Source organism: Homo sapiens, chromosome 4 (assembly GCF_000001405.40).
Source record: "Homo sapiens chromosome 4, GRCh38.p14 Primary Assembly".
Lineage (NCBI taxonomy): Eukaryota > Metazoa > Chordata > Mammalia > Primates > Hominidae > Homo > Homo sapiens.
Genome location: NC_000004.12, coordinates 113,867,307 through 113,879,660, shown reverse-complemented (window position 1 = coordinate 113,879,660; position 12,354 = coordinate 113,867,307). Strand labels below are relative to the sequence as shown.

The window sequence follows — 12,354 nt, the reverse complement described above, 5'->3', positions numbered from 1 at the left end:
AGAACTTTATATTTGGAGCTCAATATTGAATTAATATCACCCAGAGATTTTTCTAAAGCCCTTCATGCTTTGTTTTGCTTTGTGATTATTAAGTAATTCTTCTCATTGTAGAAAATTGAAGAAGTAAAAAGTATTCAAAAAGAACATGAAAATCAAAACATTCTTCATATAAATGTTTAATGCCAACATTTATTAGGCGTTTACTTCGTGTGAGCACAAATCTAGGCATCTTATACATATTTTCTCTGCCTCCCAACAGCCCTACAAAGTAGATACATTATAAACCCTATTTTATGGCTGAAGAAACAAGGTGTGGTGAGACGAATTAAATTATTAAGTGAAATGATCACTAATAAAAGTTCTCCGTGGCATTGGATGCATTTCAGTTTTCATTCATTAATTTATGACAGAAAGAGAGAGAGAGTTATAGATCACAGGGTCTTTGGCCTCCCCTGTAATGGAAATTAACACGAGGCCAAGCAGATTTCCCAGACAAAGCTTTTATTTTGGGGCTTGTGCTGAAGTGCAAGGGAGACAGCAGAAGTGAGGTGTAAGAATCCTCTGGATGGCTCCTTAAAAAAATCCAGTAGGGTTTTTTGTTTGCTTGATTAGGCAAAGCACAGGAATTGACATCAGGGGTAAAACATTCAGGCTGAGCTGGGCAAAGCACATGATGGGTAGGGTATGCAGGTCAGCGCATCTTGTTGCTATGGTTATCTTGAGTAATGGGCCACCTGGTGGTCTGGCCAGCAACGACAAGGCTGTAAATCAATTGTTCAGCATTCTTTCCCGAGGTGGGACACTCTGCAATTGTGGTTCAGTGTTAAGATTTCCTAAGTCCAACTTTTAGAATATTTTAAATAAAAGGTGTGGTTAAACATTATGAGAGCACAGAAGAATGACTGTTTTCTATGTGTGACTAAAGCCTCAGGATTAGTTGGTATAGCATCAGCAAGATAGTGCTGTGGATTTTGTGAAGAGAATAAAGAAGAAAAAATATGTGAAGAGGGAGCCACATCCCACTCCTATTCTATCTCAGTTCCTCCCTGAGAGATTATATTCTCCTTATTCTTAGAGAGGGCCAAATATCTCATCTTCTGAAGCTACTTCCTACTGAATAGGATTGTCATCCCTGCCTAACCTTGGAGGGCATGGAAATTTTTCACTGACTGTTCTAAAGATTAGTAGGAACTAGGATCCTCCTGTGATGGTAAGGGTTGGACTCCTTGGGCCATCAGTAGCGTGACTTGGAATGGCTGAAGCCTGAAGACATAAACTTTAATTATCTGTACCCCTGTTGAATATAATAAATAATTATTTTAAAAATCAAATAGCACCCAGTGATTAATAAAATGCTTAAGCCCAGTTTAACAATGCTTATAAGAAGAGATCAGATGCCATTTGAAATGTAAGTGAATTGACTGGAGAACCAACCTCCTGTTGTCAAAATATAAGACAAATAGACTTTTAATAAGAGGCATTTATATGGAACCAGAAGAAAAACAAACATTAATCGTGGGCATAATCTACCCAGACGTTACACTCAAAGCATCTTTAGTTACAGAGGAGGAAGATGCTGGCAATCTGACACATTTTTCTTGCCTGTGTTATAAGAAATAAACTTTAGTCTGCAGGGCCTTAGAAAAGAGATACTAGCAATTTTATTGTGTTTAACTCAGAAAAATGGAAGAAAAACTTGAAAATGTTAGCTTGGATATTTGTTGCATAGAAAATAATATTTTAAAACTCAATAACAATGGACAAGACTAGAATCTAACAACAGGTATGTTATGGTCTTTTTGTCTCCAGTTTCACTTTTATCAAAGACAAATCATGGTAGTACTGATTTGTTTGCAATTAAGTTTTAGTCTTATTATACTTGGCCTGATTATTTGCATAAAGTGCAGCAAGAATAATTATTTGTCGTATAGACTCTCATATATATATATTTTTTATTTTGCGGGAACTTTGTTCTGTAAGGAACCTTAGCTTAGACTTTTTAAAGCCTTGAACCTAGCCACTGATTTATCTGTCCCTATAAATACTTGTATGAATTGTGTGAATTCCTCCCCTCTTAAGGTCCCAATACAACTTGGAGTTCCAGAACCTGTTAGAAAGTGACATTTTTTACTCTATACAGGGACTGCATAGACAAGGTATGAGGCCAGTTTCTCCAAGGGGCTTTTTATCGGCTTTATAAGTCAACCTCAAATTTTTAAAGCAGTTGGAAGCATGCCATTTCAGTCAAAAGCCTGGTAAAATAGCCAGTGTCCCCACTTGTGTTCTGTTACAAAAGAAAACAGATTCTTATTGAACTTATGCAAATAACTATATTGCCATAAGTTAAGAATAGTCACAAATAGTTTCCAAATTCTAAAGAAATCAGGTAGAAAGAAACATGCTCCAAATTTGCTTATAGGAATATATAGTAGTTAATTGTTAAAAGATATAACTAGTTCAACAGGAAAAAAGTTTTCTTGACTCTGAAAACCAAAACAAAAAGGATCAGCAGAATTTCAGGAAATTTATAAAAAGATTATTTCGATTTTCTATTAGTTTAGTCCATGCAATTAACTCTTGTTCCACTCAATATTTATTAACATGTAACATCTCCAGGAAAGTCTTAGAAGTTTTTTCCTCTATTCTAATAGTCCAATCTCCAAAGTTATCAGAGACTTGCTTTCAAGAACACCTGTCAGAGTTCTATAGCTGATTATAAACTGCCTTTTGAAAAGAATCAAAACAAGATAACAATTGTCTGTGGATGGCAAAAGTCTTAGGATAGCCATGACTAATGACACAATCAACAAGAAAATCTGGTAATCAGGCCGGGCGTGGTGGCACACGCCTGTAATCCCAGCACTTTGGAAGGCTGAGGCAGACGGATCACCTGAAGTCAGGAGTTTGAGACCAGCCTGGCCAACATGGTGAAACCCCATCTCTACTAAAAATACAAAAATTAGTGGGGTGTGGTGGTGCATGCCTGCAACCCCAGCTACTTGGAAGGCTGAGGCACGAGAATCACTTGAACCTGGGAGACAGAGGTTGCAGTGAGCCGAGATTGCGCTATTGCACTCCAGCTTGGGCAACAAGAGCAAAACTCCATCTAAAAAAAAAAAAAAAAGAAATCTGGTAATCTCTGTGGCACACAATAATTTAACATAACAATCACAATTATTAATAACATATAGTGAGGCATATCAGAATTATAGGAATCTCATATAATTTTCAAATACATATTAACACATTTATAGGAATATAATCTAATGAAGGTTAAACAACATTTTTTATTTAACAATGTTTCTTATATGGGTTTAATATACCAAATGAGCCAAAAATATCTCTTTTGGACCTAAAAGTACCCAATGCTTAATTTGATCTTGAAAAGTTTGTCAGATATCAAAAGGTTTAAAACACTTGATAACACAGAACAGAATCCCAGGCTACTATAAGCCATTTATTTAGCCAAAGTGATAACTCTAAAAATTTTTTAAGCCAAAAACCTGTACTCATTGATAGAGGGGAGACTCAGCTTTCCAAACAATAAGACCCAATAAAGACAGCATGAGGCCAGTTGAATTTATTTCCTCCTCTCTCTTTTTTCTATAGTTATTTAAAAGGTAAAGAAAAATCTTTTGTTTTCCATTTTAGGCGATTAGTCTGTTGACTACCTGTTCCCTGTCCTAAGCAATTGTCAGCGAGGCAAGTCTAATTTGTATATCTAAAGGGACAACTCTTAGGTGAAATAAGATAGAGAATTTATATTTTAATCAAACCAAGAAAATATGGTTTGAGTAAAAGTTCATGTGAGATCGCCAGGAAAAGCAGATACTCTTACGCATGGAGAGTTGTCAAGAATCCCATTTTTACACTGAATCTTGGGTCCCAAAAAAGAGACACATACTATGGGATGGGACATTGCAACACTTTCACAGTGTATTTCATTGCAAGGACATTTCTCCAAGGCTGGTGGGCAACCCAACTGCAATCAGCCCACTCTGTAATCAGCCCATCCCCCATTCTATACCTTCTAGGTGCTCAAGAGCATGTTTTTCTTATCTAAATGCACAAAGAAAGGAGTACCGGCTTGTAGTAGTAGCTACTCACTATAAACAATTGCCATTAGACATTTTTAAAAGTATATCTCTTATTTAGCTATTACAAATTAAGGTTTTTTTTTAAATAATGCAAAGTAATTTCTGATGCCCACAAAAGTCAAAGAGGTCGGGTAACACAATGCAGTGCAAAACACAGCAGAGCCTTAGGTTTTGAGAGGGATCTGTCCACTTAGAATTATTTGGGTTCCATGAGGAAAACAGATTTCTCCCAAAACAGGGCCTGTGAGACCTCCTCTGTTTTTCCCAAGGCTGTCAGAAATTACCTTAGGTCCTCTCATGTGAACTTGAGGGTAGCAAGAGGACAGACAAAAGTAAATGGAGAAACAATTCAGTCAACTGAGAAGAAAAAATATATATATAATATATATATAATATATATTCAAAAAACAAGATCCAAGAAGAGAAAAAACATAACGGCCTTTTAAGTATGCATATAGCTTTGATATCCCCTTTTAATTAAGCTCACTTCTAAGCATAGAGCTCTTTTATTTAAAAATTCTTTTAAATCTTTTATTACGAGACTTTGGCTGGGACAAACAGCTGACACCTCTAGCTTTTAAGCCTTTTGTTTTCCTAAAGGTATTTTCCTGAGTGAAACCAATAAGCCTTAAGTAAGGTTATGACTTAACCACAGAATCACAGGTTGTCTCCAAAAAGATGGCAAGTGGTTTTTACAAGAGCTAGAATTGCCCCAAAGATAACTCAGAGAAAGAAAAATTCAAGAGACAAATTCAGAAGCTGTTCATGGAGGAGAAAAGAATCAATAAGTATTAAAGGTTACATAATTATCAAAACAAAAAGAACCTATTCCTTAAGCTGAGAATTGAACCAAGGCCACACACCTCATGAAAGGGCAAGGTCTATAGCTACTGAGCTACAGCATATGGCAGTTGCCACTGCTCTTCCCAGAAGGAGCCTAGAGCAGTCATGTTTTAGGTTGCAAAATATTTTTAACTGCTCAATATAACTTTTTACTTTCTAAAAAATTTTGCATTTCACTCTGTTGACCAGGATGCTCAAGATCATTTTAAAGGCTAGCTATGACATTATTACACGTCCTTCTTTTATTTTAAACCATTTTTTCTTTAATTGTTGAGAATAAGAGATCTCTGAAGTCCTTTTTTTCTGTTGATGGTGTACTTAGTTCCAATAGTGAGTGAATCCAAAAGCCTTTTGAAGTTCAGATAGTAATTTTAGAGGTTTTTACTATATAAGCAAAAGGTATATCTAGAGGGAGTAAAGGAGGCATCTACATGGTTCCCAAGAATTCATTCTCAGAAATGACCTAAGACAGCAAAAGACAACTAAAGCCACATAGAAATGGGACCATTTAAGACAAAACTCACCCAAGGGCATGACACATTCAGGACAAAGAGTGTGCTGATGCAGCTCAGACTCCAAGTCCTTTCAGGCTAGCTGCCTGACATGAACCTGAAAATTCCAGCCCTCCAGATGGTAGAGACCAGGAGAGGTACCCCCACATGGTCACAAGGTCAAGCTCCCAAGGACGTAAAACAAGATGAGAGGGAAACCTCATCTGGCTTTTTTTTAAGGGACCAACAGCAAAGTTTGTAGCTGACCAGTCTGCAGGGCTGGCTTGCAACAGAAGGCTTACAGAGGGCCTAGGCTCGTATTTTATCCTATGGGGCCACACTTTATGACAGAACAACACAGAAAGACAAATTTATATAGCTCAAAGTACACAAGATTTGCTACAGCTGAAGACTAGTCTCACAAATCCCTTTTCCCATTAATCAAAACCTTGCAGGGGAGACAAACAGTGATTTTCACATTTCATCAACTGGTTTACACAGAGAGGCCAGGAGTCTGGCTGGTAAGAAATGTTTACCTTTTCTGGCATGTCAGGTTTTAGGGTTCCCTCTCTCTGCAGCTTCTGGAAGAGCAGAGTGGATTTTGATGACCCTGCTCCCTGTGCCATAGCTGTGGGGGCCAAGCCATGCTACAAAAAAAAAAAAAAAAAAAAAAAAAGCACATCTTTTTCTGTTTTATGGAATCATAGGCAAAAGTCTCTCACTTTTTACAAGATGCCACCCAACAGGAGGCATAGGGGAATATGTTGTCAAATCAAACAGGGAAAAATGGATTAGGAAGTCAGTAGCTCAAACTCTGGAACCATGTGCTGTCAATTCTCCCCTCAAAAGGCAGCACCCACAGTCCATAGGATAATATGCCCGAAAAGATAGACAACAGAAAAGCCCACAGGCTTCCCTTCCCCGTAGGTGTGGGAAAGGGAGGAAAAGCGCTTAGCAGACTTAAAGATGACAGTCCTACCAGCTGAACCAATCAGCCATTGCAATCTGTCCTGCACAGGTGTCTATTCAATTTGAGCTGATGAAGTTAATGAAAAGTGAAGGAAAAGTAGGAGGAAAGAGGAAGGAAAAAGACACAACAAATAGGGGACAGGAGAAGAGAGAAGCATTGTCTGGCAGTCTCGGGGAGGCAAGAAGAAAACTCACCAGTTGTGGCAATGCTGAATCAAAGATTCAGGTGACCACCTGTCACCCATGAAGGAGGCAGGCACACCCCGCCATCATGCTGGCTCACAAGCCTCCTCCTTGGAGAAAAATGCTCACCACGTCCTATAATCCCGTCATGGTTGCCAGAGAACCTGTTACAGACCACAGGCTCTTTGGCTCCCATGTAACAGAAGTTAACACAGGGCCAAGCAGATTTCCCAGACAAGATTTTTATTTTGGGACTTGTGGTTGAGCAAAAGGGAGACAGCAGAGGTGAGGTGGAAGGATCCTCTGGCTGGCTCTCTGAAAAAGCCTAAAATCTGCAAGAGGTATTTTTTTATTTTTATTAAGCAAAGCACAGGAATTGACATCAGGGGTAAAGTATGCAGGCTGAGCTGGGCAAAGCACATGAGAAGTAGGGTATGCAGGTCAGCGCATCTTGTTGCTATGGTTTTCTTGAGTAATGGGCTACCTGGTGGTCTGGCCAGCAGCAATAAGGCTATACATCAATTGTTCAGCATTCCTTCCCAAGGTGGGACACTTCACAAGATTCATTCAATGTTTAGTTCTCCTAAAGCCAATTTCTGGAATTCTTTAAGTGAAAGGCATGGTTAACCATTATGAAAGCACAGAATGGCAGCTATTTCCTATGTGTGACTAAAGCCTGGGGTTAGTGGGCATAGCATCAGTGAGATAGTGGTGCGGGTTTTGTGAAGAGAAGAAGAAGAAAAAAAAAAACTACATGAAAAAGGAGTAGTATCCCATCCTATTCTATCTCCAGTAGATTATAAAATAGACAGACAGAAATGGATACTTTTCTTACTGTTAGTACCATTATATTTGTAACCTGAATCTGCTATATACAATTATGTCATAAATTTTGTAAAGTCTTAAAATTCTAATGAAAATTTTAAAATCTGCTGAGTCCATTTAAATTACATTCAAGGGCAAGGAACAACAACCGTAATAGAAAAATTTAACATGCAAACATTTAAGTGCTTATTCAACTACAAGAATTCTATGGATAGACAGAAGTGAGGAAAGCATGGTAGTTCAGGGATGTCATTAGCAATGTCATTAGCATTGGCTCTGGCTCTCTCTCTCTCTCTCTTCTCCACTATCCTTAACTTATAGGTCTTCATCCTCGTGCTTTTCATTTCTTGATCATAAAATTGCTGCTGCATTTGCAACAATCCTGTTTCAGGAAGGAGAAAAAGAAAGGAGCAAAAAGAAAAAAAGGTACCTGCCCATCAGCTCTGTGCCTCAGAAGCTCCTCTCCTCATTAGCCAGATCTGGTTCACACAACATTTCAGTTACCTCCTATTGTATAACAAAACACCACAATACTTAATGGTGAGGACTAAAATCTGACCTTTTCTTCTCTTGCCAAAATTCCCATCTAAGGGGCCTAGAAGGTATTGCCCTACAAATCACAAAATCTCATTAGATGTTTATTATTAATCACATATAATGTGGCTTGCTTTCCAACCTGACTCTGGTGTAGCATCACATGATAGATAGCAAATCCTGAAGGAAATCAAAATATTTCATCCCAAAATACTTTTATTTGATGTATTTAGAAATAACTACCACAGGGCCAACAAATTGAAATGGCCCTGCAAAGTCATATTTTGTGGGAGAAATTTGCATCTGTAGAGAATCTCCATTAATGCAGGCAGGTCTATCCTTTCTAGGCCTTTCCTGGATCTAGGAGAGATTAACTGTGAGTCTTACACCTTTAAGGCTTGAAAAGAGATATTTCCCATCTATTCTCACCCAGGGCTGCTACCTGAGAGGCTTTATCTACATAAGAAAAACCTTAACTCAAGCATTCCTTTCTACCGAATCCAAGTCTTTGGACAATAGTTTAACTCTCTCAATCAACTGTCAACTAAAGAATCCCTAAAACCCACCTATGACTTACAAGTTGCCCACTACACAACCCCCAACTCCACACTGAGATGTCCCACCTCACCCTGCAGAATCTTCCACATATAAATCCAAACTATAACCTGACTACCTCAGATACACTTTCCCAGGACCCCTTGAGGTTGTATAACCCCAGGCCATGGTCACTCATACTGGCTCAGAATAAGCCTCTTGACATCTATTTTGGCAGAATTTCGTTTTATTTCATCATCAATGGCTTTATAAAAGAAGAAAATAGCAAACAATTCTTTCATTTGCATACATTTCACTAGGAAAGGCCAGAGGATCTAAGACGGCTTCATCTATAAATCTGCCATTCAACTGGGATGGCTAGAATAACTGGGAGTTGTCTGGACCTCTCTACTTTATGATCTTTCTTCCTCCAAGATTTTTGTCTCTGTCCCCATGGACTTTTTTCTAGCCAGTAGCTGGAATTCTTTACATGATGGGTGGCTTCTAAGAGAGTGACAAACGGAAGCTGCAAAGTCTCTAAAAACCAAACACCGCATATTCTCACTCATAGGCGGGAATTGAACAATGAGATCACATGGACACAGGAAGGGGAACATCACACTCTGGGGACTGTTGTGGGGTGGGGGGAGGGGGGAGGGATAGCATTGGGAGATATACCTAATGCTAGATGACGAGTTAGTGGGTGCAGCACACCAGCATGGCACATGTATACATATGTAACTAACCTGCACAATGTGCACATGTACCCTAAAACTTAAAGTATAATAATAAAAGAAAAAAAAGAAAAAAAAAAGAAAAAAAAAAAAACTTGGTAAATTAAAAAAAAAAAAAAGATCTAGGTCCAGGCGTCAACCAATATCACTTCAACACAGTCCACTGGTCAAAATGAGTCACACAACCAGCCTATGTTAGTCTGTTTTCACAATGCTATAAATAAATACCTGAGTTTCAATTGACTCACAGTTCCACATGGCTGGGCGGGCCCCAGGAAACTTACAATTATAGCAGAAGGCAAAGGGACTTTCTTCACATGGCATCAGAGAGAGAAGAGTGGAAGAGCAAAGGGGGAAGAGCCCCTTATAAAACCATCAGATCTCATGAGAACTCACTCACTGTCATGAGAACAGCATGGAGGAAACTGCCTCCACGATACAATCACCTCCCATGAGGTCTTTCCCTTAACCACAACTGAAGATGAGATTTGGGTGGGGACACAAAGCCAAACCATATCACAGCCCAAATTCAAGGGCAGAGGAAAACAGACTTTGCCTCTTCATAGAAGGAGAGGCATACATATACAGGGATGGAAGGACTTACTCATGGCTGTCTTTGCAAATAATCCACCACACGTACATATTCTATTCCAATTGCTGTTCAGAAAAAGTTTTAGTAGATCAAAGAATGGTCACAACAGCATCTGCCTTAATTCAAATACTGTTTTTTTGAGGAATTTCCATTCATTTTTTTTTGTAACACACATATATATAACATTGTTTACAGCTTAATTTTAACTTATTATACAGTTTAATTTTAACTTTAAAGATAGAAAGTGTTTGTGTGGATGAACTATAGGTCATTTTTTGTTATGTTTTTCATTATCTCTGATTTTTTTATAATTATAATGTTACTTCCATATTATTAAAAAAATAATAAATGCTCTTCTCCAAAAGCTAAATATTTACTAGTGGTATCTTTTATAGATGTAACAAAAGTGATACACACATTCCCTTATAATTGGATATTTAGGTTTATAATTTTCTTATTAAATCATGCAAAGATAAATGTATATAAATCAGTTTTCCTAAAAATCTGTTTTCTAAGAAATAATATTTCTATTTAGATTTGGCCAGCAGTATATAAAACAGTCTGTCTAATCATATCTTCAGCAACATTGAGGATTTCTGTGTTTTTGGCATTTATTACAACTTATTTTTACTTGCTTTTCTTTCTTTTTTTTTTTTTTAAACAAAGTCTCACTCTGACGCCCAGGCTGGAGTTCAGTGGTGCGATCTCAGATCTCAGCTCACTGCAACCTCTGCCTCTCAAGTTCAAGTTATTTTCCTGCCTCAGCCTTCTGAGTAGCTGGGATTACAGGCACACACCACCGTGCCGGGCTACCTTTTGTACTTTTAGTAGAGATGAGGTTTCACCATGTTGGCCAGGCTGGTCTCAAACTCCTGACCTCAGGTGATCCACCCACCTAGACCTCCCAAAGTGCTGGGATTACAGGCATGAGCCACTGTGCCCAGTCTTTTAATTGCTTTTCTATGATTAGTGAGTTTGAGAGTTTACACAGTTTTTTGTGGCCATTTGTCTTTTTTATTGTATGAATTGTCTACACCATTGTCAGTTTTTCTGTTGGGAACTAAAACATTTTTTCATTGCTCTTTGAAAGTCTTCATATAGTAAGCATATTAACTTCTTATGTATAGTTTATTACATTTTCCTAGTTTCTCATTCGCCTTTTGGAGGTTTTTCCCATACAAAAATTTTAAATTCTTTATTTCATTTGTATTTTCTTACATAGTGTATATTCTTAGATGATACACACCTATTCTGTTAATATTTAAATTTTCTTCTAGTATATTTTAGAGTTTTTTTATACTTAACTTTTTGATTCACTTGGGCTTGATATTGGTACATGATATAATGAGGTTTAAGGTAAATCCCCCATTCCCACTGTGAAGAAAAAGGCCATTTCTCAATGCCATTTGTTGAAGAATCCATCCATCTACCTCTATATGTATAAATAAATTTCAATGAATATTATATTACATAAACATATATACACAACATATACACTATTGTTTGATTAGTTTATCAATTCTTATAACAACAAATGATGTATTTCTAGTTTTATAATATTTTTTAAATCTATCAGGCCTATTGTCTTAATAGGCAAGATTCCAGTTTATTTTTTCTCAAAAAAAAGGCATTTAGCTCCTTTAAGTTTTTAATCATTCCAAATAAACACTCAAACCTTTATTTCACAGTCCTAAAATGATCCTACTATTCTTTTCACTTAGAATTGTAATGAGTGTATATTAATTTGGAAATAACTGAGATATTTAAAATACTCTCATGAGGAATATTTTGTCTCTACACATGAGTTTTCTCTTTTTTTTGGTGAAGTTCTGTAATTAATGTGAATCATGGTATTTCTTCTTAGAATTCTCCCTTGATAATATTTTCTTGCTATTCGAAATGAAATAATTTTCTTTCATTACATCCGCTAAGTAGTAATTATTACACTGGAAAACTCTTGATTTTTTGTATCCTTCATATACCTGATCCATTTTTAGAATCATTTTGTTCATACAAGGGTTTTCAAATCATTTTCTTGGATATTCTTTGTATATGCCATATTGCCAACAAATAAATGTTTTTGTCTTATTTACTGCAAAATAAAAATCTTATTTTTTTCTACTTAATGTCCTTTTTTTTTTCTGAGATGGAGTCTCGCTCTGTCGCCCAGGCTGGATGGAGTGCAGTGGCACAATCTCGGGTCACTGCAAGCTCTGCCTCCCAGGTTCACGCCATTCTCCTGCCTCAGCCTCCTGAGTAGCTGGGACTACAGGCGCCTGCCACCACGCCCGACTAATTTTTTGTAGTTTTAGTAGAGATGGGGTTTCACCATGTTAACCAGGATGGTCTCGATCTCCTGACCTCATGATCCGCCCGCCTCAGGCTCCCAAAGTGCTGGGATTACAGGTGTGAGCCACTGTGCCCGGCCTACTTAATGTCTTATACATTGGCTAGGATGTGAGAATAGTATCATGATCTATTTATTCATTCAACTAATATTTAGTGAGTACCTAGCCTTTTTCTGGCTCCTAAGCTGCACTAGAATTAGATCA

General features: G+C 37.5%; 1 long non-coding RNA gene across 1 annotated transcript, besides 1 other annotated feature; it reads right to left on the bottom strand.

Annotated features, from left to right (window-relative positions):
- Positions 1-2,575: 2,575 nt before the first annotated feature.
- LOC105377375 (uncharacterized) lies at positions 2,576-7,915 on the bottom strand. Its single transcript, XR_939087.3, has 3 exons — positions 7,839-7,915; positions 5,968-6,078; positions 2,576-3,106 (listed from the first exon to the last, which is right to left on the bottom strand). It is a non-coding gene; the product is annotated as an uncharacterized LOC105377375 (long non-coding RNA).
- Positions 9,421-9,580: an enhancer, noted in NCBI's record as "active region_21839". NCBI's record gives its function as "activates an Ori minimal core promoter by ATAC-STARR-seq in GM12878 lymphoblastoid cells {active_cell/tissue: GM12878}" and the evidence as "EXISTENCE:reporter gene assay evidence [ECO:0000049][PMID:35858748]".